General features: G+C 43.4%; 1 protein-coding gene across 1 annotated transcript, besides 8 other annotated features; it reads right to left on the bottom strand.

Annotated features, from left to right (window-relative positions):
* Positions 1-176: 176 nt before the first annotated feature.
* Positions 177-26482, bottom strand: PHAX (phosphorylated adaptor for RNA export). The gene is made up of 5 exons (NM_032177.4): positions 26371-26482; positions 23246-23859; positions 18945-19065; positions 10096-10179; positions 177-2854 (listed from the first exon to the last, which is right to left on the bottom strand). The coding sequence occupies exons 1-5, from the start codon at positions 26464-26466 to the stop codon at positions 2585-2587; spliced, it is 1185 nt and encodes a 394-aa protein (NP_115553.2). The 5' UTR covers positions 26467-26482; the 3' UTR covers positions 177-2584.
* Positions 2426-2626: a silencer, noted in NCBI's record as "peak5456 fragment used in MPRA reporter construct". NCBI's record gives its function as "represses an SCP1 promoter by STARR-seq MPRAs in K562 erythroleukemia cells {active_cell/tissue: K562}" and the evidence as "EXISTENCE:reporter gene assay evidence [ECO:0000049][PMID:32103011]".
* Positions 8398-8930: an enhancer, noted in NCBI's record as "H3K27ac-H3K4me1 hESC enhancer chr5:125954191-125954723 (GRCh37/hg19 assembly coordinates)". NCBI's record gives its function as "activates a minimal SCP1, AML or CMV promoter by ChIP-STARR-seq in naive H9 embryonic stem cells {active_cell/tissue: H9 hESC(naive)}" and the evidence as "EXISTENCE:reporter gene assay evidence [ECO:0000049][PMID:30033119]".
* Positions 24854-25702: an enhancer, noted in NCBI's record as "H3K27ac-H3K4me1 hESC enhancer chr5:125937419-125938267 (GRCh37/hg19 assembly coordinates)". NCBI's record gives its function as "activates a minimal SCP1, AML or CMV promoter by ChIP-STARR-seq in naive H9 embryonic stem cells {active_cell/tissue: H9 hESC(naive)}" and the evidence as "EXISTENCE:reporter gene assay evidence [ECO:0000049][PMID:30033119]".
* Positions 25703-26550: an enhancer, noted in NCBI's record as "H3K27ac-H3K4me1 hESC enhancer chr5:125936571-125937418 (GRCh37/hg19 assembly coordinates)". NCBI's record gives its function as "activates a minimal SCP1, AML or CMV promoter by ChIP-STARR-seq in naive H9 embryonic stem cells {active_cell/tissue: H9 hESC(naive)}" and the evidence as "EXISTENCE:reporter gene assay evidence [ECO:0000049][PMID:30033119]".
* Positions 25703-27400: a biological region, named in NCBI's record as "hESC enhancers GRCh37_chr5:125935721-125936570 and GRCh37_chr5:125936571-125937418".
* Positions 26065-26314: a silencer, noted in NCBI's record as "silent region_16283". NCBI's record gives its function as "represses an Ori minimal core promoter by ATAC-STARR-seq in GM12878 lymphoblastoid cells {active_cell/tissue: GM12878}" and the evidence as "EXISTENCE:reporter gene assay evidence [ECO:0000049][PMID:35858748]".
* Positions 26435-26644: a silencer, noted in NCBI's record as "silent region_16282". NCBI's record gives its function as "represses an Ori minimal core promoter by ATAC-STARR-seq in GM12878 lymphoblastoid cells {active_cell/tissue: GM12878}" and the evidence as "EXISTENCE:reporter gene assay evidence [ECO:0000049][PMID:35858748]".
* Positions 26551-27400: an enhancer, noted in NCBI's record as "H3K27ac hESC enhancer chr5:125935721-125936570 (GRCh37/hg19 assembly coordinates)". NCBI's record gives its function as "activates a minimal SCP1, AML or CMV promoter by ChIP-STARR-seq in naive H9 embryonic stem cells {active_cell/tissue: H9 hESC(naive)}" and the evidence as "EXISTENCE:reporter gene assay evidence [ECO:0000049][PMID:30033119]".

The raw sequence follows: 27400 nt of genomic DNA, 5'->3' as shown, positions 1-27400 counted from the left end.
TATGTGGCATTTAAGTATTCAGAATAATTATCTTTCTTAATGTACTATTTCTAAAATCACCTCCCATAAATTGTCTTAGGGTCAATATCCAATTACCTTTTAAAAATATTTTTCTTGGCTATAGCATTTTTATGAAAAAACATTCAAGATTTAAAAATATAATCACTTGAAGCTCATTAAGGACTGCCAAAAATCTAATTTTATTTTTGCATCCTTTATAAATAAAAAGCAACCGATAACCACTTTCCTCTTAGATCCAACTTCAATGACCACATTCTCAGAACTACCAAAAGACTTCAAGTACACTGTCTGTAAGGAACAGTTTATAATTGCTGAATTTTACATTTTTGCTTAATATACAACATTTCTGCTTAATATATCAAGCATATTTTTGCTTAATATATTTTTGTAAACTATAGTTAACTCTTGGAATGTCTAAACTACCTTATTTTCTTCATTAATAAAAATGAGTAATTTAAAACTTCATGCACATGTAACATTTTACTATTATTATTTTTGAGACAAAGTCTTGCTCTGTCACCCAGGCTGGAGTGCAGTGGCACGATCTCGACTCACTGCAACCTCTGCCTCCTGGGTTCAAGTGATTCTCCTGCCTCGGCCTCCCAAATAGCTGAGATTACAGGCATGCACCACAATGCCCGGCTAATTTTTTGTATTTTTTTTTTTTTTTTTGAGAGGGAGTCTCGCTCTGTCGCCAGGCTGGAGTGCAGTGGCGTGATCTCGGCTCACTGCAACCTCCACCTCCTGGGTTCAAGTGATTCTCCTGCCTCAGCCTCCCTAGTAGTTGGGACTACAGGCATGCGCCACCACGCCCAGCTAATTTTTGTATTTTTAATAGAGACAGGGTTTCACCATGTTGGCCAGGATGGTCTCGATCTCTTGACCTTGTGATCCACCCGCCTCCACCTCCCAAAGTGCTGGGATTACAGGTGTGAGCCACCGCGCCCGGCTAATTTTTTGTATTTTTTGTATTTTTAGTTGAGATGGGGTTTCACCATGTAGACCAGGTTGGTTTTGAACTCCTGACCTCAAATGATCTACCTGTCTCAGCCTCCCAGAGTGCTGGGATTACACACATGAGCCACTGCGCCGGCATATGTAACATTTTAAATACCTGACTTCCTTAACATAAGGTAAGACAGTCTTAGGCAGGCTGCCACTGGGAATGTTTTTTTCTTTTTCTTTTTTAAATTAGAGACAGGGTCTCACTACATTGCCTAGATTGGTCTCAAACTCCTGGGCTCAAGCAATCTTCCTCTCTTGGCCTCCCAAAGTGTTGGGATTGCAGGTGTGCGCCACTAGGCCCAGCTTGAAAAATTTTTTAATGCATGTGGTAATCCACAGGAGATCACATTTAGTATATGACCAAGTTAATTAAGAAGTCAAAAAACACGTTAAATTTAAGCAGAATAAGGCTGGGTTCGGTGGCTCATGCCTGTGATCCCAGCACTTTGGGAGGCAGAGGTGGGCAGATCATTAGGCCAGGAGTTCGAGACCAGCCTGGACAACATGGCGAAAGTCTTTACTAAAAATACAAAAATCAGCTGGGCGTGGTGGTACACACCTGTGATCCCAGCTACTCAGGAGGCTTAGGCACATGATCGCTTGAACCTGGGAGATGGAAGCTGCAGTAAGCTGAGATCCTGCCACTGTACTCCAGCCTGGGTGACAGATCAAGACTCTAACTAAAAAACCCCCCAAAAAACAAATAGTTACTTGGAAAACTTCCGACATTTATTTACTTCTGGACAAACAAATGAGTGGGAAGAATCATCAGTATACACCTCTTAATTGTATTTTTTTTTTTTTTTGAGACAGAGTCTTGCTCTGTCGCCCAGGCTGGAGTACAGTGGTACGATCTCAGCTCACTGCAACCTTTGCCTCCCGGGTTCAGGTGATTCTCCTGCCTCAGCCTCCCGAGTAGCCGGGATTATAGGCATGGAGAACCACACCTGGCTAGTTTTTGTATTTTTAGTAGAGATGAAGTTTCACCATGTTGGCCTGGCTGGTCTCAAACTTCTGACCTCAAGTGATCTGCCCGCCTTGGTCTCCTAAAGTGTTGGGATTACAGGCGTGAGCCACCGTGCCTGGCCAATGTTAGTTTTTATCCTTAAAATTGCCTGAGTTCTTAGAACACAGAAAAAACAAATTTGAATGCATTTCTAACAGCTTAATAATTTATATGTCCCATTATGATTTTAGCGGAATGTTTTAAAGCAAAGCATAATTCACTGCAAAGATAAACCTGAAAAAGCAAACAAACTTACAAATGGTATGTTATGACCTAGACAAAACTGATTATCAACTAGTAATACTCATAATTAGCACATGCAACAGATTGAGAAATTAAATCCTGTGCTATATACTCTTAAGTATTTTGTCAGATATATCTTTAAATGTTCTATCAATTGCATTCCTTTCCACACATATTTTAAACAAGAAAACAATTGTCTTTCCTCCAGATTCTCATGTTTATCAGTGCAAAACGTTGCAATCTCAGTAAAAATGGTTTATTACAATGTTATTTTAGAAAGGCTTAGTCCTCAAACTGTTGAAAATGTACTTAAAAGATGTCCAAATCATGAGAATGATCAACTTCAATGGCTTCCTCTGCCTCCAACTTGGCTTCTGCATGTCCTTCCTGTGACTCATCAAGAGAGGCCAAGGCCTCATTCGTGTCACTTGCAAAAGTTTCTCGTGATGTATCATCATCTTCTTGAAAATTTAGACTTTTAATAGCTTGTTTCATCTTTTTCCCCAACACTTGTGTTCTCCTCTTCCTAGCAGCTTTTTTATTTTCATATTCCTTTTGGTTTTCAATGTAGAAAATGTCCTGTAATAAAGGAACAAAGTTAGTAAACAAGAACTACCACGTTATTAAAGGTTTATTCCATGACTGTCCCTTTAAAATCATTATCTCCATTTCTTACAAAAAATACAAGTATTATTAGGCTCATTATTAAGATGGAGTTCAAGATATTAAGTAAGTACTCATTGCAAGATTGAAACTGATTTAAACCCAGCCTAGTGTTAGGTTTAGGGCCCATGCTTATTCTACCTTAATGTATCATCTCTACAGTTAAAAATTTCCTAAATGAAGGCTGGGCATGGTGACTCATGCCTGTAATCCCAGCACTTTGGGAGGCGGAGGTGGGTGGTTCACTTGAGGTCAGGAGTTGCAGACCAGCCTGGCCAACATGGTGAAACCCTGTCTCTCCTAAAAATACAAAAAGTAGCCGGCTGTGGTGGCACACACCTGTAGTCTCAGCTACTAGGGAGGCTGAGGCAGGAGGATCATTTGAACCCAGGAGACAGAGGTTGCAGTGAGCCGAGACTGTGCCACTGCACTCCAGCCTGGGCAGCAGAGCGAGACTGTGTCTCAAAAAAAAAAAAAAAAAACCCAAAACCAAACCAAAACAAAAAGTCAAAAAGTTTTGGAGCATTTTGGATTTTCAGATTAGGGATTGTCAACCTGTACTAAAACAGAGACGGTTCAAAGGTTTAAAAAAGAAGCTAGTGTAGGCAGGACACACTTCTGGGACCCTATTATCTCCTGGGCAGGGATTCCAAAAAGCTCAAGCCAAGCCAGTCCCTGTTATATTCTTAAAGAATACAAATCCCAATCCCTTCTTGTTTATAAAAAGCACTATGGAAGATGGTGGGATGAAGGAGACTCTCTCCTAAAATTTATGCTAAATAGTTACAAGCAGCACACAGAATTAACAGAGGAAGGTGTAAAGATCTTTGAAATGAAGAGGTAAGGGGAAACTTCAGAATATGAGTGTTTTGATGAAGAGAAATAAGAAAAGTATTTGCTAAAGAGGAGGAACTGAGGAGGGAGAAGGAGGGTACATACGTGAGAAAAGACAAAGGTAAATTCAGAATATAATGAGGCTTGCTACCAGTTATCAAGTGAGTACTTTTACGTACCAGGCATTTTGCTAAGGACTTTACACACACATTAACTCATTTCGTCCTCACAAAAGCCTTATGAGGTAGTTAACTATCCTTGTTTTCAGATGTGGAAAATGAGGCACAAGATTACAGGGCTACCATGTGAAGGTATGAAGTCTGAACTCACATATGATTTCTCTAATATTCTCCTTTTTAAAAGTTTTTGATAGAGATGGGGCCTCGCTGTCACCCAAGCTGGAGTGCAGTGTATAATTATACCTCACTGCAGCCTCGAATTCCTGGACTAAAGCAATCCTCCCGCCTCAGCATCCCAAGTAGCTGCTGATTTCTCCTACATTCTTATTTTTTTTCTTCTTCTTTTTTTTTTGAGACAGAGTCTGGCTCTGTCACCCAGGCTGGAGTGTAGTCGTCTGATCTCGGCTCACTGCAATCTCCATTTCCAGGGTTCAAGCAATTCTCATGCCTTGGCCTCTAGAGTAGCTGGAACTACAGGCGTGAGCTACCACACCTAACTATATTTTGTATTTTTAGTGGAGATGGGGTTTCTCCATGTTGCCCAGGCTGGTCTCCAACTCCTGGCCTCAAGTGACCCACCTGCCTCGGCCTCCCAAAGTGCTGGGATTACAGGGGTAAGCCACCGCGCCCGGCCCAATGTTCTTAAAATCTATTATACTGCCTTCACAAAAGTGTGATGATTTGCAATTTTTTCCAAGAGTTCACTTACCTTTAATTCAAAGAATATGAAGAAGCCACAGTAGAAGCATTTTCATTTTATATGGAAGCATATCCAAGCATCTTGCTAAGAATTCTAAGTAGTATAATGCTTGGTAACACTGAGTAAATTTTACGAAACTGCCCTTTTCTCTCCAAATATGGCAAGCCTTATTAAAAAGAAACTTTGGCCAGGTGTGGTAGCGCATTCTTGTAATCCTAGCATTTCAGGAGGCCGAGGTGGTCAGATCACTTGAGGTCAGGAGTTCGAGACCAGCCTGGCCAATATGGTAAAACTCCATCTCTACTAAAAAAAAAAAAAAAAAAAAAAAAAAAAAATACAAAAATTAGGCTGGGTTTGCTGGCTCTCGCCTGTAATCCCAGCACTTTGAGAGGCTGAGGCGGGCGGATCACGAGGTCAGGAGATCGAGACCATCCTGGCCAACATGGTGAAACCCCATCTCTACTAAAATACAAAAAATTAGCTGGGCATGGTGGTGCGAGCCTATAATCCAAGCTACTTGGGAGGCTGAGGCAGGGGAATCACCTGAACCCGGGAGGCAGAGGTTGCAGTGAGCCGAGAGCGCGCCACTGCACTCCAGCCTGGCGATAGAGCAAGACTCCATCTCAAAAAACAAACAAACAAACAAAAACACAAAAATTAGCCAGGCGTGGTGGCGGGCACCTGTAATCCCAGCTACTTGGGAGGGTGAGGCAGGAGAATTGCTTGAACCCAGGATGAGCCAAGATCTCACCACTGCACTCCAGCCTGGGCAACAGAGCTAGGAGACTCCGTCTCAAAAATTAAAAAAATAAACAATAAACAAAATAAAAACAAACTTCATTCCCATGCGTTATGAATTTAATAGAACAAAGTGGGAAATGGTCCCCAAAATGTTGTTGCAACATGTTGTTAATATCTTTATCACAAATGCAGACAGGTAATTTGAGGGAAAATTTCCCCCCTCCCATCCATATCTATATATACTTAACTCTCCAAGTTAAGGATCTAACTCTAGTGTTTTAGCTGAGCTTTTTTTTTTCTTTGAACAAAGCAAATAAAGTTTTAACTATTGCTTTTTTCCTTCAGAAAACTTTGTATTTTTCAAAACAAAACTTAATTGTGAGGTCATGTACCCAAATGGAATTTTAAAACAGGAAAACAAACTTAGTCAAGTTCTGGCTTCTAAGTTCTACATATGGTGACTGTTAGCAATATAGCAATTAAAAGAATAATTATAACATCATCATTTAGGTGGCATCTGAAATAAATGATCTATAATAAAATTTTATTGGTCAGGCATGGTGGCTCACACCTGTAATCCCAGGACTTTGGGAGGCCCAGGCAGGAGGATTGCTTAAGGCCAGGAGTTTGAGACTAGACTGGGCAATATAAGACCCTGTCTCTACAAAATATTTTAAAAATAAGCTGAGAGTGATGGCATGTGCCCTACAGTCCCAGCTACTAAGGAGGCTGAGGCAAGAGGGTCACTTGAGCCCTGGAGTTTGAGGCTACAGTGAGCTACGATAGTGCCATTGGACTCCTGCCTGAGTGATAGCAGGAGACCTACCTCTTCAAAACAAAACAAAACTGCCAGGTACAGTGGCTCACACCTGTAATCCCAGCACTTTGAGAGGCCGAGGCATGAACATCATTTGAGCCCCAGAGTTCAAGACCAGTCTGAGCAACATAATGTGAGACCTGGGTGACAGAGTGAAACCGTCTCTTTTTAAAAAGAATTTTTTGGCCAGGCGCAGTGGCTCACTCCTGTAATTCCAGCACTTTGGGAGGCCGAGGAGGGTGGATCACCTGAAGTCAGGAGTTTGGGACAAGCCCAGACAACATGGTGAAACCCTGTCTCTACTAAAAATACAAAAATTAGCCGGGTGTGGTGGTATGCCTGTAATCCCAGCTACTCGAGAGGCTGAGGTGAGAGAACTGCTTGAAGCTGGGAGGCGGAGGATGCAGTGAGCCGAGATCGTCCACTGCACTCAGCCTAGGGGACAGAGTGAGACTCTGTCTCAAAAAAACAAACAAACAAAAGAATGTCCTTGTAAGTCAACATTTCCCTATTATTAGATATTCCAAGTGTTTCTATTTTTTGTTATTATAATGCAAAGTTTCTGGTAGTTTGACATAAAAACTTTCTAGTATTAAAATCCTTTCCCTAAATGAGCTGGAATAACTGAATTACAAAGACATAATACAGTGAAAATAACTCCAACATGGTTTTGGAGTCAGAGTGGTCTGTGTGATCTCAGGCATATAATTTTGATTATTCTCCATTTGTAACATTCACGGTGATACAATGTGGTGAAGATTAAGTTATATAATATTAATCTTTGGTCCAGTGGGAGGAAATCAATAAATGTTACAGTATTTCTTTTCTCCTGCCTGAGAATATTATTTGTCCAAGGTTTAGTTACTTAGAAGGTATCTTTTAAGTACATACTTTTTGTCAAGAATTACTTTGGGTGAGAGGAGAGAACATTAGAGTATAATCTTTGCTACCACTCAACAGTTGTGTTCCTAAGGAAACTTACATTGTTACAAATCATGTTACTGAAACAGTTGTTACAATGAAATGAAAAAAGTAGTTACTAGAGATTTTAGATTTACAGTAACATTTCCTATAGGAATGTCAATATAGCAGACTCTATTAAAATGACTGTTAAGAGAACAGCCAGAAAACTTAAGGAAAAAGAACACTGAGCAGATGCAAAATGCAATTACCTGGACCAGCTCAAGGTAAGTTGCTTTATCTGTCATCATTAGCATTACAGTCAGTATGGCTAAAAGACACATTCCTATTACCTTTATCACCATTGTTATCATAAGGAAAATGTGCGGCTACTCAAATACAACAGCTGTGATAGATGTGCACCACCTCTTTCCTATGCAAGAGTTTAGTTCTCAATCTTTAGTCTATGAATAAATGCTAAGTGCAAATCATGTTCTCGGATTAACAAATTAAAAGAAAACAAATTTTAAGTTTTGAAAAATCCATACTGTAGAAGAATGTCCGTAAAAGATATTCCCAGTAACACAAACATGATTTAAAATACTAAAGAGTCTACACCTTCTAGTTTATAATACTGGAGACAGAAGAATGAATGAAAGCCACAAGGAGACAATCACCAAAATATAATAAGGTAACCTAATATTCTGTAAGATAACCACCTGTAACTTTTTTTTTTTTTTTTTAAAGACAGAGTCTTGTTCTGTCACCCAGGCTGGAGTACAGTGGTGTGATCTCGGCTTACTGCGACGTCCACCTCCCAGGTTCAAGCGATTCTCCTACGTCAGCCTCCCGAGTAGCAGGGATTACAGGCGCCCGCCACCATGCCTGGTTAATTTTTGTATTGAGTAGGGTCGGGGTTTCACCATGCTGGCCAGGCTGCTCTTGAACTCCTGAACTCAACTGATCTGCCCACCTCGGCCTCCCAAAATGCTGGAATTACAGACAGGAGCCACCACGCCTGACCTAACCATCTTTAACTCTTCAAAAGGTCTAAATCATGAAGGAAAATGTGGGGTTAAAAAGAATAAAGGAGGGCCAGGCAAGGTGGCTAACACCTGTAATTCCAGCACTTTCGGAGGCCAAGGTGGGAGGACTGCTTGAGCCCAGGAGTTGGAGACCAGCCTGGCCAACATGGAGAAACTCCGTCTCTACAAAAAATACAAAAATTAGCTGGCCATAGTGGTGCATGTCTGTTGTCCCAGCTACTTGGGAGGCTGAGGGTCATCTAAGACCAGGGAGGTCAAGAATGCAGTGAGCTGTGATGATGCACTCCAGCTGGGGCAACAGAGTAAGACTTTGTCTCCGGCCGGGCGTGGTGGCTCATGCCTGAATCCCAGCACTTTGGGAGGCCAAGGCAGGCAGATCACGAGGTCAGGAGATCGAGACCATCCTGGTTAACATGGTGAAACCCCATCTCTACTAAAATACAAAAAATTAGCTGGGCGTGGTGGCGCAAGCCTGTAATCCCAGCTACTCAGGAGGCTGAGGCAGGGGACTTGCTTGAACCCGGGAGGCAGAGGTTGCCGAGATCATGACACTGCACTCCAGCCTGGCGACAGAGCAAGACTCCATCTCAAAAAAAAAAAAAACAGTTTTTAAAAAAAGACTTTGTTTCCAAAAATTAAAAAAAAAAATTTAATTAAAAATATATAATACAGGAGGAGATACAACAAATGGAATATGGAAACCTAGACTGTATTCTGCTTAGGGGGAAAGTATATAAAATATATTCTTGGGACAAATTAGGAAATTGGAATAAGGTCTAGATATTGAATACTATGAAATTGTTTTTATTTCTCTTAGGAGTGATAATGGGTCTTGTGGTTATGTAGGGTATTGTCATTACTGGGAGATACTTTTTTTTTGTATTTTTTTTTTGGTGGGGGATGGCACCAAGCTGAAGTGTTAACTGTACACTCACTCCAGACTCATTGCCTGCCCTTACGCTTGTTCAAATAATTAGAACTAAGCATCTGATGCTTGTTATTTATTTCCACATGGAACAGGAAAAGACTGTATAGGCCAGGCGTGGTGGCTCATGCCTATAATCCCAACACTCTGGGAGGCTGAGGTGGGTGGATCACTAGAGCCCAGAGTTCCAGACCAGCCTGGGCAACATCTCTACAAAAAATACAAAAATTAGCTGGGTGTAATGGCATATGCCTGTACTCCCAGTTACTCTGGAGGCTGAGGTGGGAGGACTACTTGAGCCCAGGAGGCAGAGGCTGCAGTGAACAGAAATTGCGCCACTGCACTCCAGCCTGGGCAATAGAGCCAGGTCCTTAGACCCTGTCTCAAGGGGAAAAAAGAAAGAAAGAAATAGAGAAACAAATAAAAAGTGTATAGGTAAAGAAAGAATGGTTCATGCCTGTAATTGCAGCACTTTGGGAGACTGGGGCAGGAGGATTGCTTGAGCCGAGACGTACAAGACCAGCCTGGGCAACACAGCAAGACCCCGTCTCTACAAAGAATAAAAGGCTGGCTGGGAGCACTGGCTCACGCCTGTAATCCCAGCACTTTGTGGGGGCCGAGACGGGCGGACTGCTTGAGGTCAGGAGTTTGAGACCAGTCTGGCCAATATGGTGAAACCCCGTCTCTACTAAAAATACAAAAATCAGCCAGGCATGGTGGCATGTGCCTGTAATCCCAGCTACTTGGGAGGCTGAGGCACGAGAATCACTTGAACCCGGGAGGCGGAGGTTGCAGTGAGCTGAGATCATGCCACTACACTCCAGCCTGGGTGACAGAGTGAGACTCCGCCTCAAAAATAAATAAATAAATAAAAGGCATAAATGTTACTTAAGATAATAACAAAATCAGTCCACTGAAGGCAGAACAGGTAATGCATATCCATAGAAAATGAAGGTAGAGGGTGAGTAGAAGTCAAATTATGATGGCGCTTAAGAGGTGAGGACATTATCATTACCTTAATTTGTTCCTCGCTGATACTAGGAGTGTTTTTCAAGAGATTCAGAAAAACTCCACCTGGTGTTCTTCTTCGACTACCATTCTACAAAAAGGAACAGAAAAGGTAAACTGCATATACTCTTCCCATAAATGGTCAAGGCATCTTTTAACAGAGACACAATTAAGGGGATAGAAGAAATACCAGATCTGAAGTCCAGTCCTGATTCTGACTCTTACAAAATAGGTAACATGAGTAAATTACCGAAATATGAGTTTCAGTTTCTTCATCTATAAAATGAAGGCCAAAAATATTTGGTCTTTTTTAATTCTGAAATTCCGTGATTTAAAAAATCTATATGGTAACAAAGAGAAATAGGCCACTCAGCTCAAATGACCTAACAAATGACTGGATTTTCTGTTTTAATCTGCCACCTGGCTAAGTCAGTGAATATTCTTTTTTTTTTTTTTTTTTGAGATGGAGTTTCACTCTTTCGCTCAGGCTGGAGTGAAATGGCGCGATCTCGGCTCACTGCAGCCTCTGCCCTCCGGGGTTCAAGCGTTTCTCCTGCCTCAGCCTCCTGAGTAGCTGGGATTATAGGCACTCCCCACCACGCCTGGCGAATTTTTGTATTTTTAGTAGAAACGGGGTTTCGCCATGTTGGCCAGCCTGGTCTCAAACTCCTGACCTCAGGCGATCTGCCCGCCTCAGCCTCACAAAGTGCTAGGATTACAGGTGTGAGCCACCGCACCCACCATGAATATTCTATTAGATGTTAAAACACATCATAAACTCTAAATAATTAAAACAGTATGGTTCCAAAATAAAACTAGAATGATCAGTGAAGCAAAATAGAAAACCTAGAAAAAAAAGCCAAATATATATGGGTATTTAGTCTATGATACAGATACTATCTTAAATTGGAGAAGATAAATGTATTATTCAAGAATTGGCATTTGAGGCTGGGCGCAGTTGCTCACGCCTGTAATCCCAGCACTTTGGACGCCGAGGCGGGTGGATCACCTGAGGTCAGGAATTCAAGACTAGCCTGGTCAACAACATGGTGAAACCCTGTCTCTATCAAAAACACAAAAATTAGCTGGGCATGGTAGCACATATCTGTAATCCCAGCTACTTGGGAGGCTAAGGCAGGAGAATCACTTGAACCCAGGAGGTGGAGGTTGCAGTGAACCGAGACTGTGCCATTGCACTCTAGCCTGGACGACAAGAGCAAACCTCCATTTCATTTTTTTTTTTTTGAGACAAAGTCTCATGCAAACCTCTATTTCAAAAAAAAAAAAAAAAAAGTTGGTGGTTGAGCTACTGGGTAGCCACCATGGAAAATATTATGTTGGATTCACACCTCATGTCTTATACCAAGATATATTCCAAAGGGATCAAATATTTAAATGTATATATATAATAAATCAGATATATATACACACATACAGTGGCTTCTCAATAGTCATGGTAGTTACGTTTTATAAAGTTGCTGCAAACATTGAATTAGCAAATATTGAAACATTCCTTCTGAAAAATACAGGGTTAGGTTCCTGAAAGCCTCTGATAGACAACACTTTTGTCAACAGATCAGTATATAACCTTGTATGTATCTTGGTTTAAAGACACCTTATTGAAAACATATTGTTGATTCATTAACATTGAATTAGTGGCCAACAGCCTATAACTCATGCCTAAACGATGCTTATCTAACCATATTTTCTCTCTAACGCATGTCACAGTCTTCTTGCACTTAGAAACACTAGTTGGCACTACAGCACTACCCTTGGAGGGGCCATTTTAAACAGCAAAATCCCCAGAGGGGCGCAAAAAAAAAAAAAAAAAAGCACAGAATGTGAAAAAGATGGCACTAAAATAGACCTTGAAAAGAACACCTGTTTATAGTATGGAAGCTGAAACAAAGCAATGTTGCCCTGTTTGACCTCAGCTAAGCATGTGCATGTCGGACAACTCAAATTTTTTTAGACACTGCACATCTGTGAATGACTGTGAAACCACCACTAGTATTGATTTGAGGTTATGAATAACTTTTACCAGGTAGGCAAATTTGAAAATATAAAATCTACAAATAATGAGGATCGACTGAGCATGTATGTCATATACACATAGTCATATAAATTATGATATAACTATTCACTGGAATGCTAGCAACTGCAAAAAAGAATGAGGGGGCTCTCTACATACTTGATAAGGTTTCTAAGAGAAATTAAGTTAAAAAAAAAAAGCAAGGTATAGAATAGTATGCATAGTATATGACCATTTGTGTAAAAACAAGTGTGTTAGGGCCGGGTACGGTGGCTCACGCCTGTAATCCCAGCACTTTGGGAGGCCAAAGTGGGCAGATCATGAGGTCAGGAGTTTGAGACCAGCCTAACATGGTGAAACCTTGTTTCTATTAAAAATATAAAAATTAGCTGGGCGTGGTGGTGTGTGCCTGTAATCCCAGCTACTTCGGAGGCTGAGGCAGGAGAATCGCTTGAACCCGGGAGGCAGAGGTTGCAGTAAGCCGAGATCGCACCACTGCACTCTAGCCTGGGTGACAGAGCGAGACTCCATCTCAAAAAAAATAATGGGTGTTGGAGAGGAGTCTGGGTGGCTCAAGGATAGGTGTGGTCCGGGTAGCCTCTCACTACACACTCTTTTACTGATTTTTTATTGTGATAATAAAGACATGACAAAAAAATTTTGTCATCTTCACAATTTTTAAGTGTACAGTTCAGTAGTAAAGTATATTTACACGGTTATAAAACAGATCTCCAAAACTGTTTCATCTTGCAAATCTGAAACTCTGTACACATAAATTTCCCTTAGCCTCCTCCCTTTAGCCCTTGATACTCTTTCTTGTTTTACCATGTGAACTGGTTGCCTATTCAAATAACTGAATTTTTAAAAATAAGGAAATAGGTACATATACACACTTGTGGCCGGGTGCGGTGACTCACGGGTTGGGTGTTGGGTATTATACCCAACACTTTGGGAGGCCGAGACGGGTGGATCACTTGAGGTCAGGAGTTTGAGACCAGCCTGGCCAACATGGTGAAACCCTGTTTCTAATAAAAATACAAAATTAGCTGGACATGGTGGGATATGCCTGTAATCCCAGTTACTCAGAAGGCTGAGGGCAGGAGAATTGTTTGAATCTGGGAGGCAGAGGTTGCAGTGAGCTGAGATGGCAACACTGTACTCCACCCTGGGTGACAGAGCAAGACTGTCTCAAATATATGTTAATTGCAGAAAAAGTAGCAAAAACATGCGGTTAAAAGAAAAAATAGGCGGGGTACAATGGCTCACACCTGTAATCCTAGAGGCAGATGGATTGCTTGAGTGCCCAGGAGTTTGAGACCAGCCTGGGCAACATGGTGAAACCCTGTCTCTACAAAAAATACAAAAATTAGCTGGGCATTGTGGCTTAAGCCTATAGTCCCAGCTACTTGGGAGACTGAAGTGGAAGGACTGCTTGAGCCAGGGAGGTCGAGGCTGCAGTGACCTGCGATTGTGCCACTGTACTCCAGCCTGGATGACAGAGTGAGACCCTGTATCAAAAAGGAAAAAAAAAAAGAAAGAAAGAAAAAGAAAAGAAAAAAACCACCCATGATCCTACTAACCATAGGTAATCACTGTAACATTTTGACACATATAATCTTTTTACTTTTTTCTGACACAGTCTCGCTCTTCACCCAGGCTGAAGTGAGGTGGTGTGATCATGCCTCACTGCAGCTCGACCTTCTGGGCTCAAGGGATCCTCCCACCTCCTTAGCCTCCCAAGTAGCTGGGACTACAAGCATGTGCCACAACATACAGCTAATTTTTGTATTTTTTTGGTAGAGATAAGGTTTCACCATGTCACCCAGGCTGGTCTCAGGATTACACACGTGTGAGCCACCACACCTGGACATCTTTTTACTTTTTTATATGCCACATATATTTGTAACTCCAACCCCAAATGGGATTCTGTCATATAAATTGGCTTGTTTATTTATTTTTGAGACAGAGTCATGTTCTTGTTGCCCAGGATGGAGTGCAGTGGCACAATCTCTGCTCACTGCAACCTCCACCTCCCAGGTTCAAGCAATTCTCCTGCCTCAGCCTCCCGAGCACCTGTGATTACAGGCACATGCCACCACACCCGGCTAATTTTTGTATTTTTAGCAGAGACGGGGTTTCACCATGTTGGACAGGCTGGTCTCGAACGCCTGACCTCAGGTGATATGCCCGTCTCAGCCTCCCAAAATGCTGGGATTACAGGCATGAGGCACTGCGCCTGGCCAATTGGTTTCTAATCTGTCTTTTCATTAAACAATCCATTATACATACCCTTCCATGTTCATGTTAAATAGACTTTTGAGACTTTGAAGCCAATGTGAATTTTTGGATATTGCTCTTCAAACTGGCTAAAAACCTTGGAGTCATCTTTGACTCTTCCTTTTCTTACATCCTCCATCTAATCCACTAGGAAATTCTGTTGGCCGTATCTTCCACATATACCCAGAATCTGACCACTTTTCCTTCACCCCACTGCTACCATGCTGGTCAGACCCATTGGAAAGGCTTTTCCTGCATCTAATCTTATTCCCCAGTTCAGTCTATTCTCAAAACAGCAGCGGAAAGGAAATGCATTTCTTTTTCTTTTTTGAGACCGAGTTTCGCTCTTGTTGCCCAGGCTGGAGTCCAATGGCGCAATCCCGGCTCATGGCAACCTCCACCTCCCGGGTTCAAACGATTCTCCTGCCTCAGCCTCCTGAGTAGCTGGGATTACAGGCATACACCACCATACCTGGCTAATTTTTGTGTATTTTTAATAGAGATGGGGTTTCTCCACATTAGTCAGGCTGGTCTCAACTCCTGACCTCAGGTGATCCGCCCACCTCGGTCTCCCAAAGTGGTGGGATTACAGGTGTGAGCCACCACGCCCGGCCTAGGAAATGCATTTCTTATCTGTTCAAAACCCTCTATGGGCCATTTCATTTAAAGTAAAAGGAAAATTCCTTAAGATGGCAAACAAGTTCCCACTAGACCTGGCCCAATTATCTCTCTGACCTTATATCCTACTCACTCTCTCATGCACTCTGCTCCTGCCACATTGGCCCCTTGTTGAGACAGGAACTAGGTAGAGATTAGGGTGGAGAGAGCAGTCTTGCCAAGTACAGGGTAAGAGCCTATCTTTAAAATTTTGTCCATTATGGATTTTTTGCATTAATTTTGATTTTTGAACTGGTACATTCAAATATTATTTATTTTGATTATTGAGTTTTTAAGGCACTGTCAAATTTTGAACCTAAAGCAAGTAAACTGCTCACTTCATGCTAGTTCTGGCCTTGCTGGGCACCCTTCACTTCTACAATAGCTGTTACTTCTGCTTGGTCTATTCTTCCTGCAGTATTCATTGCTTCACCTCAAGTCTTTGTTCAAATTGCACCTTCTTAATAACATCTACCCAGACCACTCTAGTTTAACTGCAACGTCCTCCTCTCTGCTACTATTCCCTATAGCTCCATCTGATTTCTTTCTTTTCCCATAGGATGTATCACTTTTTTTTTTTTTTCGAGACAGGGTCTCGCTCTGTCACCCAAGCTGGAGCGCAGTGGCACGATTACAGTTCACTGCAGCCTTGACCTCCCAGGTTCAAGTGATCCTCCCACCTCAGCCTCCTAGGTAGTTGGGACTAAACACATGTGCCACCAAGCCTGGCTAATATATGTATACATATTTTTTGTAGAACAGGATTTCACCATGTTGCCCAGGCTGGTCTCGAACTCCTGTACTCAAGCAATCTACCCTCCTTGGCCCCCCAAAGTGCTGGGATTACAGGTGCATCTGGTCAATGTATCACTTTTTAACATACTTGAAGTTATATTTATTGTTTATAGACTGTCTTCCTTTCCCCCAACCACAACATAAGCTCCCTCCTCTAGAACAGTGCCTGGCACGTAGAAAGCACTGAATTCAAGGAAATAATGTATCCAAAGAAAGTAAATTTGGAGGCCGGGCGTGGTGCCTCACGCCTGTAATCCCAGCACTTTGGGAGGCCGAGGCCGGCAGATCACCTGAGGTCAGGAGTTTGAGACCAGCCTGCTCAACATGGAGAAACCCTGTCTCTATTAAAAATACAAAATTAGCCGGGGTGGTGGCGCATGCCTGTAATCCCAGCTACTTGGGAGGCTGAGGCAGGAGAATCGCTTGAACCCGGGAGGCAGAGGTTGTGGTGAGCCAAGATTGCGCCATTGGACTCCAGCCTGGGCAACAAGAGCAAAACTACATCTCAAAACAAACAAACAAACAAACAAACGAAAAGAAAAAAAACAAAAAAAAAAAGAAAGTAAATTTGGGGGCTGGACATAGTGGCTCACACCTGTAATCCCAGTACTTTGGGAGACCGAGGTGGGCAGATTCCTTGAGCTCACAAGTTCAAAACCAGCCTGGGCAACATGGTAAAACTCCATCTCTACTAAAAACACAAAAAATTAGCCAAGCGCGGTGGCACGCACCTGCAATCCCAGCTACTCAGAAGGCTGAGGTGGGGGATGGCTTGAGCCTGGGAGGTGGAGGATACAGTGAGCTGAGATCGCGCCACTGTACTCCAGCCTGGGCAAGAGAGCCAGACTGTGTCTCAAAAAATAAAATAAAATAAGAAAGTAAATTTGAACTTGCATCTTCCCAATATTCAGTAAATCTGCATTAGCTCACTGGAATATAAAGTTTTATCACTACAGTACTAAAATATTGATGAAATCTGTAACTCTGTGTTCAACTGAATGAAAATTGAAGTACTTTAACAATGACACAAATAGGGATGGCAGTGCATTCATGATTATTATAATTTCTTTTGTTGCTAACTTCTGTTTTGACTTCTGTAATTTATGTTCACAGGCTGTTTCCTTAGCCAATGCTATTAATCCTAACTGGGTTTTTTTTCTCCCCATGTCCAAAGCACAATATTGATCTACTCCCTTGTGATGTTATTACAGTATTCAGACTTATCAGTAACAAAAAACAAGGAAGTCATTCAAACCTTCATCCTCACCCTGTGGTGAAAGCTGAATTCAATGAGATATGCCAAACCCTTCTATAACCGCCAGTGCTCGTGATCTGGCCTAGCCAGAGGAGCTCTTTCTGTCATTCTGAAACAGTAAAGAGCTTCTCAAACTTTTCTCCCATTATTGCTCTACCACCCCAGGAACTTTTTAGACTTCCCCCAACTTTCATTCTTATACCCAGGAAATTTTAATACACACAAAAATACTGTATACCTATTTGTACTTTATTGTGTATCTATCTGTGCTTACATAACAAAAGTGTTGACCGGGCACAGTGGCTCAAGCCTGTAATCCCAGCACTTTGGGAGGCCGAGGCAGGCGGATTGCCTGAGCTCAGGAGTTCTCAACCAGCCTAGGCAACATGGTGAAAGCCTGCCTCTACTAAAATACAAAAACTAGCTGGGCGTGGTGGCAGGCTATAGTCCCAGCATACTTGGGAGGCTGAGGCAGGGGAATTGCTTGAACTCGGGAGATGGAGGTTTCAGTGAGCTGAGATCGTGCCACTGCACTCCAGCCTGGGCGACAGAGTGAGATTCCGTCTCAAAAAACAAACAAACAAAAAAAAGGGTGTTTTGTTTTTTTTTTTTGCCCTCTTTTTCAAGAATGCATGAATTAAGTGAACCAAAATGAACACTTCTGTTTACCATTGCTAAAGTGCTGGGCACTGTGGTCAGTATTTCATGTGCACCATCTCCTCTAATCCTTAAAATGTAGGACTAATCTCCATTTTACAGCTGAGGAGACTGAGGCTCCAAGAAGTCAAACAACTTAGCCGAATTTCAATTAGTATGTTGAAAATCTAGAAGTAAAAAAGGGTACCCAAACTCTAAAACCCATATTCTCAAGATCTGAGCTCCTAGGCTCCCCTAGACTTTGTCGTCTTAAAACTTCAACCCTTTGGCCGGGTGCAGTGGCTCACGCCTGTAATCCCAGCACTTTGGGAGGCCGAGCTGGGTGGATTGCCTAAGGTCAGGAGTTTGAGACCAGCCTGGGCAACATGGTGAAACCCCGTCTCTACTAAAAATACAAACGTTAGCCGGGTGTGGTGGTGCATGCCTGTGATCTCAGCTACTTGGGGGGCTGAGGCAGGAGAATTGCTTGAACTCGGGAGGCGGAGGTTGCAGTGAGCCGAGATTGCGCCACTGCACTCCAGTCTGGGCGACAGAGCGAGACTCCTTCTCAAAAAAAAAAAAAAAAAAAAAAATTCAACCCCTACCTTTAACAAATCATGTAAGAAATGTTTTGGTGACTATACGGCAACAGGCTATAATTTATGTTTGTTTGTTTGTTTTTTTGTCAGGGAAGTACTAACTGCAAAAACAACTGTACTAATTTTTTTTTCTTTTTATTCTTTTTTTTTTTGAGACGGAGTTTCGCTCCTGTTGCCCAGGATGGAGTGCAAGGGTGCGATCTCAGCTCACTGAAACCTCTGGTCTCTCAGGTTCAAGTGATTCTCCTGCCTCAGCCTCCTGAGTAGCTGCGATTACAGGTATGTGCCACCACGCTTGGCTAATTTTGTATTTTTAGTAGAGACAGGGTTTCTCCATGTTGGTCAGGCTGGTCTCGAACTCCCGATCTCAGGTGATCGGCCCGCCTCAGCCTCCCAAAGTGCTAGGAATACAGGCTTGAGCCACCGTGCCTGGCAACTAATTTTTTTTTAACAGTCTTCATTGTTGATAATAGTTTAAAAACTTCAAACATACTGTAAGAATGCATGATAAATCACAGATCCAACAAGGGCAAAGTTAAATTTGTAATCAAAAACAAAAACACAGGATAAACAATACAAAAACAAAAACAGTTAAGCAGTCTTACCATTATAAAGAGACCACCATTTTGTTCAACTTCAGCGGTTTCCATCAGAAGTTCAATTGCCTTTTTGTTACCAATAATCCTCACTACTCGGGCTATCAGGTCTTTCTTTGGTTCCTGTAACCTGATGAGAAACAAGTAAAATTATCCTCTTTGTTTGTTGTACAAAGTTGAAGAAATCTACCTTAGTCACCAGCTAGAATAAAAATCTGATTCTAGTAACTTTTGGTTTTCTAAATCTTCAATATTTAATCTTGGAATCACTGACATGTAAATATTCCTAATCTTGGGTCACAGAAGGAGATGGTAACCTCAAGTTTCCATCTAAACTCTCATAATTGGCTTATTTGTCTTATTGGATTATAGCAGATTTCAAAATGCACATGCAGCACGATGAATGCAGGTCTGAATGCAAAAGATGATAAAGGCAGTCCACTATTGTCAAAATAAATAACAGACATATATACTTTCAATTATTACGCCTAAAAGCTAAGGCTCACATAATTCCAGAGATGTCTGGAGCTTTAAAATGGGATAGGACCTTTCCCTCATAGACTCCCTGCCTCAGAACAAAAAATAGAAACAGCTAATATTTACTGATGGCTTATTATGATTATAATAAGCACAATCCTAAGAACCTTACATGCACTATGCCAGCTGATTCTCTCAAGAATGTACAAGATAGGTACTATCGTTTTCATTTTGTCACTGAGAGGTTAGAAACATAGGTAGCCTAAGTAATTCTTCCAGTGTCAAAGCTCACACTCTCAACAGATCAAGAATTCAGCTGGGTGTGGTGGCTCACACCTATAATCCCAGCATTTTGGGAGGCCGAGGTGGGTGGATCACCTGAGGTTGGGAGTTCGAGACCAGTCTGACTAACGTGGAGAAACCCCGTCTTTACAAAAAATACAAAATTAGCTGGGTGTGGTGGCACATGCCTATAATCCCAGCTACTTGGGAGGCTGAGGCAGGAGAATTGCTTGAACCCTGAGGCTGAGGCAGAGGTTGCAGTGAGCCAAGATGGCACCACTGCACTCCAGCCTGGGCAACGAGAGTGAAACTCCGTCTCAAAAAAAAAAAAAAAAAAAAAAAAAAAGAATTCAGACCTGGCACCCTTTGTTTCTTCTCAACAGGAGGCAGTGCATTTTTGTGGAAAGAGAAATAGACTAGGAACACAAGGATCAGGGTTTAACTCCAGGTCTAATATTAATCTGTGAAATGAAGGTTTTGGTTTACAACATCTCTAAGTTTCTTTCCAGCACTCAAATTCCAAACTTCCCCAGTATTTTAAAAATCAAGTACTGGTGTTCAGATAGGCTTGCCTGGAAAGTAAATACTTGTTTTCCTACCACCTGCATTACTCTTGAACCGTATCTGTTTTCAAATTTATGACACTGTTCATTAGTAATTTAGAGCTAATGAAAATGTTAATTCAAAATCTGAACTTGGTAAAAATACATGAATTGTAAATTTACCATACACCAAGCAATTCTACTTCTGGGTATTTACCTGAAAGAAATGAAAATATGGCCAGGTGAGGTGGCTCATGCCTGTAATCCCAACACTTTGGGAGGTCGAAGGGGGTGGATCATCTGAGGTTAGAAGTTTGAGACCAGCCTGGTCAACAAGGTGAAACCCTGTCTCTACTAAAAATACAAAAAAAAAATTATCTGGGCGTGGTGGCGCACGCCTCTAATCCCGGCTACTAGGGAGGCTGAGGCAGGAGATTTGATTGAACCCAGGAGGCGGAGGTTGCAGTGAGCTGAGATCATGCCACTGCACTCCATCCTGGGCAACAGAGTGAGACTCTGTCTAAAACAAAACAAAAGAAAACAAAGATATGAAAATATGTGTTTAAAGATCTGGATGTGAAGGTTCATAACAGCATTATTCATGATAGCCAAAAAGTAGAATATTCAATATGAATATATGCATATATACACACACTATAAAAATGTATTGATTCCTGCTACACCATGGATCAATCTCAAAAACACAACATTGGCTGGGCACAGTGGCTTACGCCTCTAATCCCACCACTTTGGGAGGCTGAGGTGGTCTGGAGTTCGAGACCAGCCTGGCCAACATGGCGAAACCCTGTCTCTACTAAAAAATATAAAAATTAGCTGGGCGTTGTAGCACATGGCTGTAATTCCAGCTACTCACGAGGCTGAGGCATGAGAATTGCTTGAACCCAGGAGGCGGAGGTTGCAGTGAGCTGAGATCGTGACACTGCACTCCAGCCTGGGCAACAGAGTGACACTCTGTCTCAAACAAACAAACAAACAATCAAAAAAACAAACCACACACACAAAAAAACAAAAACAAAAACAAACAAAAACATAACATTAGCTGACAGAAGCAAGGCACGAGATTACATACTACATGACACCATTTATATGAAATATCCAAAAAAGGCAAATTTATAGACAGAAAGTAGATTAGCAGTTATCTGGGAATGAGAACAGGGATTAACTATAAACTGGCATGTGGACATAAGGGATCTTACTGGGTGACAGAAATGTTTCAGAGGTGATGGTTATACAACTTGATATGTTTCCTAAAAAAATTAACACTAGAAATGGGTGAATATTATCTGTAAAATATACCTCAAAGTTAAGAAAAAAGTCACAAATTCTTGAAAACACTAAACAAACAAAAACAACCCATGATTTAAAAATATATGCTTTATTTAAAAAGCTCTATGGCACTAAATGCAACAAGTTGTTTAACAGTTCATAAAAGTCTACAAAATTATTCTATCAGGCTTGTCCAAATTTAAGAAAACACAGTGGGTGCGCAGCTCACGCCTATAATCCCAGCATTTGGGAGGCCAAGGCAGGCAAATCACTTGAGGCCAGGAGATCGAGATCAGTCCGGCCAACATAATGAAACCCTATCTCTACTAAAAATACAAAAAAAAAAAAATTATTTGGGTGTGGTGGCGAATGCCTATAGTCCCAGCTACTCAGGTGGCTCTCTCACGTTCAAGCAATTCTCATGAGGGGACGTTGCAGTGAGCCAGGATACCACCACTGCACTCCAGCCTGGGTGACAGAGCAAGACTGTCTCATAAACAAAAAACCAACAGAAAAATACATTACGAATGTATTCATATAACCAAATTATCCCAGTTCCTTAAAGAAAAATTTTCAAAGACTCAGGTACAGTGGCTCACACCTATAATCCCAGCAATCTGGGAAGTTGAGGCAGGAGGATTGCTTAAGCCCAGGAGTTCAGCTTCAATGAGCTCTGATTGTGCTACTGCACTCCAGCTGAGTGACCAGAGCAAGACCATCTCTTAAAAAAAAAAAAAAATCTGTGGACAGCGCAGTGGTTGATGCATATAATCCCAGCACTTTGGGAGGCCAATGTGGGAGGACTGCTTGTTCCCAGGAGTTTGACACCAGCCTGGGCAACACAGTGAAACTCCTAATTTTTTTTTTTTTCTGAGATGGAGTCTAGTTCTGTCACCCAGGCTGGAGTGCAGTGGCACAATCTCGGCTCACTGCAACCTCCGCCTCCCGGGTTCAAGTGATTCTCCTGCCTCAGCCTCCCGAGTAGCTGGGATTACAGGCGCCCACTACCACGCCCAGCTAATTTTTGTATTTTTAGTAGAGATGGGGTTTCACTGTGTCGGCCAGGCTGGTCTTGAACTCCTGACCTCATGATCCACTCACCTCAGCCTCCCAAAGTGCTGGGATTACAAGCATGAGCCACTCTGTCTGGCCATAATTTTTTTTTTTTAATTGGCCAGGCATAATGGCCTGAGCCTGTAGTCCCAGTTACTCAGGAAGCTGAGGTGGAAGGATCCTTTCAGCCCAAGAGTTCTAGGTTCCAGTGAGGTGTGATTGCAGCACTGCACTCCAGCCTGGGCAAGAGTGAGATCCTTTCTCAAATAAATAAATAAATAAATAGATTAGGCCAGCCCATGGCTCACGCCTGTAATCTCAGCACTTTGAGAGGCAAAGGCGGGTGGATCCCTTGAGCTCTGGAGTTCGAGAGTAGCTTGGACAACATGGCAAGACCCTGTCTCTATTAAAAATACAAAGAATAGCTGGGCGTGGGGGTGCATACCTGTGGTCCCAGCTATTCAGGAGGCTGAGGTAAGAGAATCCCTTGAGCGAGGAGGCGGAGGTTGCAGTGAGTAACTGCACTCCAGCCTGGGTGACAGAGCAAGACCCTGTCTCCAAAAAAAAAAAAAAAAAAAGGAACATATCATTAAAGTATTTGGCATTCATTTTATTTCCTGTAAATAGAAGCCATCTGGTCAAGTACTTATTTGTAATTCAAATGCTCACCTGAATGAAATTTCATCAGCCACTTTCTCTTGAGAATCTTCCGCTGTGATCTCGTATCGACCTTTATAGTTCATTTCTGGTCTGTTCCCTAGCCTGTCTTTGACAGGTCGTTTCCTTTTGAGATGACCTTGCCCATTTTCCTCTTCCTTTGATCCCATTTTTTTGCCACCATGCATATATTCATCTAGTTCCTTGTCTAGATCTTTTGTATGCTCTTGAGATTCCTTCCTAAGTTTCTTGGCAAGCAAATAATTGTAGGTCTCGGATTGTCTGCTTCTGTCAATAGTGCCCTCCATTCCCAAGATACCAAGTTCAGTGGCCACTGCATCTTGATTCTGTTCCTGCAGCACAGCACCCCATATGTTGTTAATCTTCTTTCCTCCAGCAACAGGTGGTTTCTGACTGCTCTGGCCAAACTGAAAAGGCTCTGGTTTGGGAGGAGGGTTAAAACATTTCTGTCGTTTGCGTTTCCAAAGACAGCTATCATCATCTGAATCAGAAAAACTTTCTTCACTTGAATCCACACTTTCAACAGCTCGATAATGTGATACTGGTGCACATGCAGTTGCCGTGTTCTGGAAGGCCCTCATAGCACTGTCGCCACCTAGCACTTTCTGCAAGTGAAAAGAAACACAATCAATTTCACAAAACACATAAACTCCACCTACCTAATTTTTAAAAATTTAGAGATTCAACTTTGCCATTCCAAAATGGAACTGATCTTCAAAGACAAATCTGAGACCAATCAAGTTCCTACTTTTCTAAGTTCCACATGGAATTTGCCAATTTAAAAGCCACAAATTCTTATCTTTACAACTAATGCAGCACTTTGTTCTAAGATCTCCTTCTACTATATTACCAAAGCTCTTGTCACCTTTAAAAGATTTCAAACTTTTCAGTTACTGTCAGAATGTTTTAAAATGACATACATAATAATTGTTACTTTTTTTTTTTGAGACAAAGTTTTGTTCTGTGGCCGAGGCTGGAGTGCAGTGGAGCTATCATGGCTCACCACCTCTCAGGCTCAAGCGATCCTCCTACCTCAGCCTCCTGAGGGACTGGGACTACAGGCAACCTTCACCATACCCAGCTATTTTTTTTTTTTTTTTGCATTTTTTGGTAGAGACGGGGTCTTGCCAAGTTGCCCAGGCTGGGCATGTATTTTTTTTTTTTTTCTTGAGATGGGAGTCTTGCTCTGTCACCCAGGCTGGAGTGCAGTGGCGCGATCTCGGCTCACTGCAAGCTCCGCCTCCCGGGTTCACACCATTCTCCTGCCTCAGCCTCCGGAGTAGCTGGGACTACAGGCGCCCGCCACCACGCCCAGCTAATTTTTTTGTATTTTTAGTAGAGAGGGGGTTTCACCGCGTTAGCCAGGATGGTCTCGATCTCCTGACCTCGTGATCCACCCGCCTCGGCCTCCCAAAGTGCTGGGATTACAGGCGTGAGCCACCGCGCCCAGCCTGGGCAAGATATTTTTAAAACCCCAGAGTCCACGGCATTAAGTTTATTTACCAAGTCATGGGTCAATTTATGTAAAAACAACCTGAGATTGAAAAACAAAATATCTTGGTACTAATTTCCTAAACATTTATATGCAAAAGCAAGTATTTGTCTTTGTTAAACTCCTACTACGCTAGAAATGGAAGTTGGGACTATCTATCTTCCTATCTTCAAATAATAATCAGAGATAACACTTACCAGGCATTACTGCACACTGTATGCTCCACAGAATCCTTGCAATAACCCTATCAGTGGTACATCATGCCAATTCCACAGAGGTAGACAAAAAGCAGTGAGGCTAAATAAACCTGCTGTAGGTCACACATCGGTGGCCCCAGGATCTGAACACAGGCAGCCTGGCACCAACGCCCTCTCAAAGAGGTTGCTACCTACCAAGGCAGTCAAGACAAATTCCCGTTTAGAAAGCAGGGAAGCTGGGCCGGGCGCGGTGGCTCGCGCCTGTAGTCCCAGCACTTTGGGAGGCCGAGGCGGGTGGATCACTTGAGGTCGGAAGTTCAAGACCAGCCTGGCCAACATGGAGAACCCCCGTCTCTACTAAAAATACAAAAATTAGGCCGGGCGAGGTGGCTCACGCCTGTAATCCCAACACTTTGGGAGGCCGAGGCGGGCGGATCACCTGAGGTTGGGAGTTCGAGACCAGCCTGACCAACATGGAGAAATCTCGTCTCAACTAAAAATACAAAATTAGCTGGATGTGGCCGGGCGCCGTGGTTCACACCTGTAATCTCAGCACTTTTGGAGGCCGAGGCAGGCCGATCACTTGAGGTCAGGAGTTCGAGACCAGCCTGGGCAACATGGTGAAACCCCGCGTCTACCAAAAATACAAAAATTAACCGGGCGTGGCAGCGGGCGCATGTAATCCCAGCTACTCGGGAGGCTGAGGCAGGAGAATCGCTTGAACCCGGGAGGCGGAGGTTGCAGTGAGCCGAGATCGCGCCACTGCACTCCAGCCTGGGCAACAGCGTGAGACCACCTCAAAACAACAAACAAAATCAGAGAGGCTAATGCAAAAGCCTAGTGCCATGGTACCGCATGACAAAGCTAGGTTCGGTGGAAACATGGAAAACCAGATCTTTGAGTGAGCGATAAACTTCATTCCTGGGCCTCAGTCTCCCTTCGGCTCAGGGAGAAAATGAGCATCACAGGCTGTTTCAGGCTGATGTCCCTAGATGCTACATATTTGGCAAAATCTGCCCCTTTATGGTTACCTAGCGGCGATGGAGTGGGGAAGCCCCAAGTTTAGAAAAGAAAGAGCGGTAGGCGGAGGTGAGACGTCTAAGAGGCCGCCGCAAGCCGGCCTCCAGGAGGCGCCAGGGCTCGCGCGCCCCGCCTCGCAGGGAGCAGCCAGTTCGGGGTTCGCACGGCCAGCCGCTGCCGCTGCCGCCGTCGCCCCTCGCCCCTCGGCCCCCGCAGCCCGGGCTCCGTGAGCCCGCCTGGGGGACGTCTGCTCGCCCCTTCTGCGGCCACTGACCCGACAGCCTGGGCTCCTCGCTCTGGCCCGGGCTCCTAGCTCCCACCCCTCACCCTCACCGCTGCCTGCGCGCTCCCCGGGGCCCAGGCTCCGCGCGCCCAGCCACGATCACCCACCCTCCTTTCACACTCACTGGCAATTGCAGCGGCCTGTCGCTGGGTGCGACCGTCATGTCGGAATCCGAGTCGGAAAGCTGCCCATCTTCCATATCGCCGACCTCCAACGCCATCTTCCCGCGGTGCGCTGCGCTGCACAGCGGCGGGTCAGGAGAGCACTTCCGGCGGGGCAGCCGGAAGGCCCGGCGGCTCGGCTGCTCGGGCGCCCCCGCGCGGAGGCCAGCCTGTCCCAGCGGCCTGAGGCGTCCCATTGCATTCCAACTACCCCGGGAAAATGAATCCCTTGTTCCCCCAACACTTTTCTTCCAAACTTTATTTTCGTGCAAACATAAATATGTCACGTATCGCGGTCGTCTGGGATTCCTCCCTTGGCCGTACATCCTTCCCCTGTATGCTCTGGACAAGCCTCCCCGCTTCTGTTCTTGCTCCTCCACAATCCACTCTACATATTGCTTCCAGGGAAGCCTTTCAAGCTGTATAGTCCGCCCTCTGTATCCACTCCCCATCCACGGATGCCGAACCTGCGGATGGGAAGGACCCACCGTGCACCCCCACATAATGTAAGGGGCTTGAGCATGGCGGATGTTGGTATCTGTGGGGGTCCTGAAAACAATGACCCGCGGATACCTAGGGAGGATTGTACCTTAGCTCGAATCTTCCAAGTGCATCCCTCCCCAAAACAAGGACTGAGTTCTCAGCATGGTGTTTGAAATGTTTGTTTTCCGGTGTCGTAAAGAAATAGCAACATAAATTTAACTTACTGAATAAGGCCATTTTTACTTTCTGCAGAAAGGGTACACTCGCCAGCAGTTTTGCCAGGAGAGTACACTGAACAAAAGGAGACAGGGTCATTTATAACCTGACGTGTTTACCTTACTGCTGTGGCTGGTTTTTATTGGCTGGACCGGACCTCACATTTTGTATTTGTCCCGATTGGCTAGCAACTTAGAACTTTTTAAAAGAGGCAAAGGTAGAGGAGAACAAAGGAAGGAGGAAGTAACTTGTGGAATGCTGAGAAAGATGAAAACACTTTTAAATAAGGAAGAG

The sequence above is a fragment of the Homo sapiens genome, chromosome 5 (genome assembly GCF_000001405.40).
Source record: "Homo sapiens chromosome 5, GRCh38.p14 Primary Assembly".
NCBI lineage: Eukaryota > Metazoa > Chordata > Mammalia > Primates > Hominidae > Homo > Homo sapiens.
Note: the sequence above shows the minus strand (reverse complement) of the source record. Positions and strands in the feature narration are given on the sequence as shown.

Bases quoted from the DNA above. Each gene is read 5' to 3' on its own strand.
- PHAX (NM_032177.4), bottom strand. From the start codon at position 26,466: ATGGCGTTGGAGGTCGGCGATATGGAAGATGGGCAGCTTTCCGACTCG. The intron at 19,066-23,245 runs GTGAGCATTTGA...GTTTCTCATCAG, and splicing joins GCTGATGAAATTTCATTCAG to GTTACAGGAACCAAAGAAAG. The intron at 2,855-10,095 runs GTAATGATAATG...CCTTTATTACAG, and splicing joins TCAGCGAGGAACAAATTAAG to GACATTTTCTACATTGAAAA.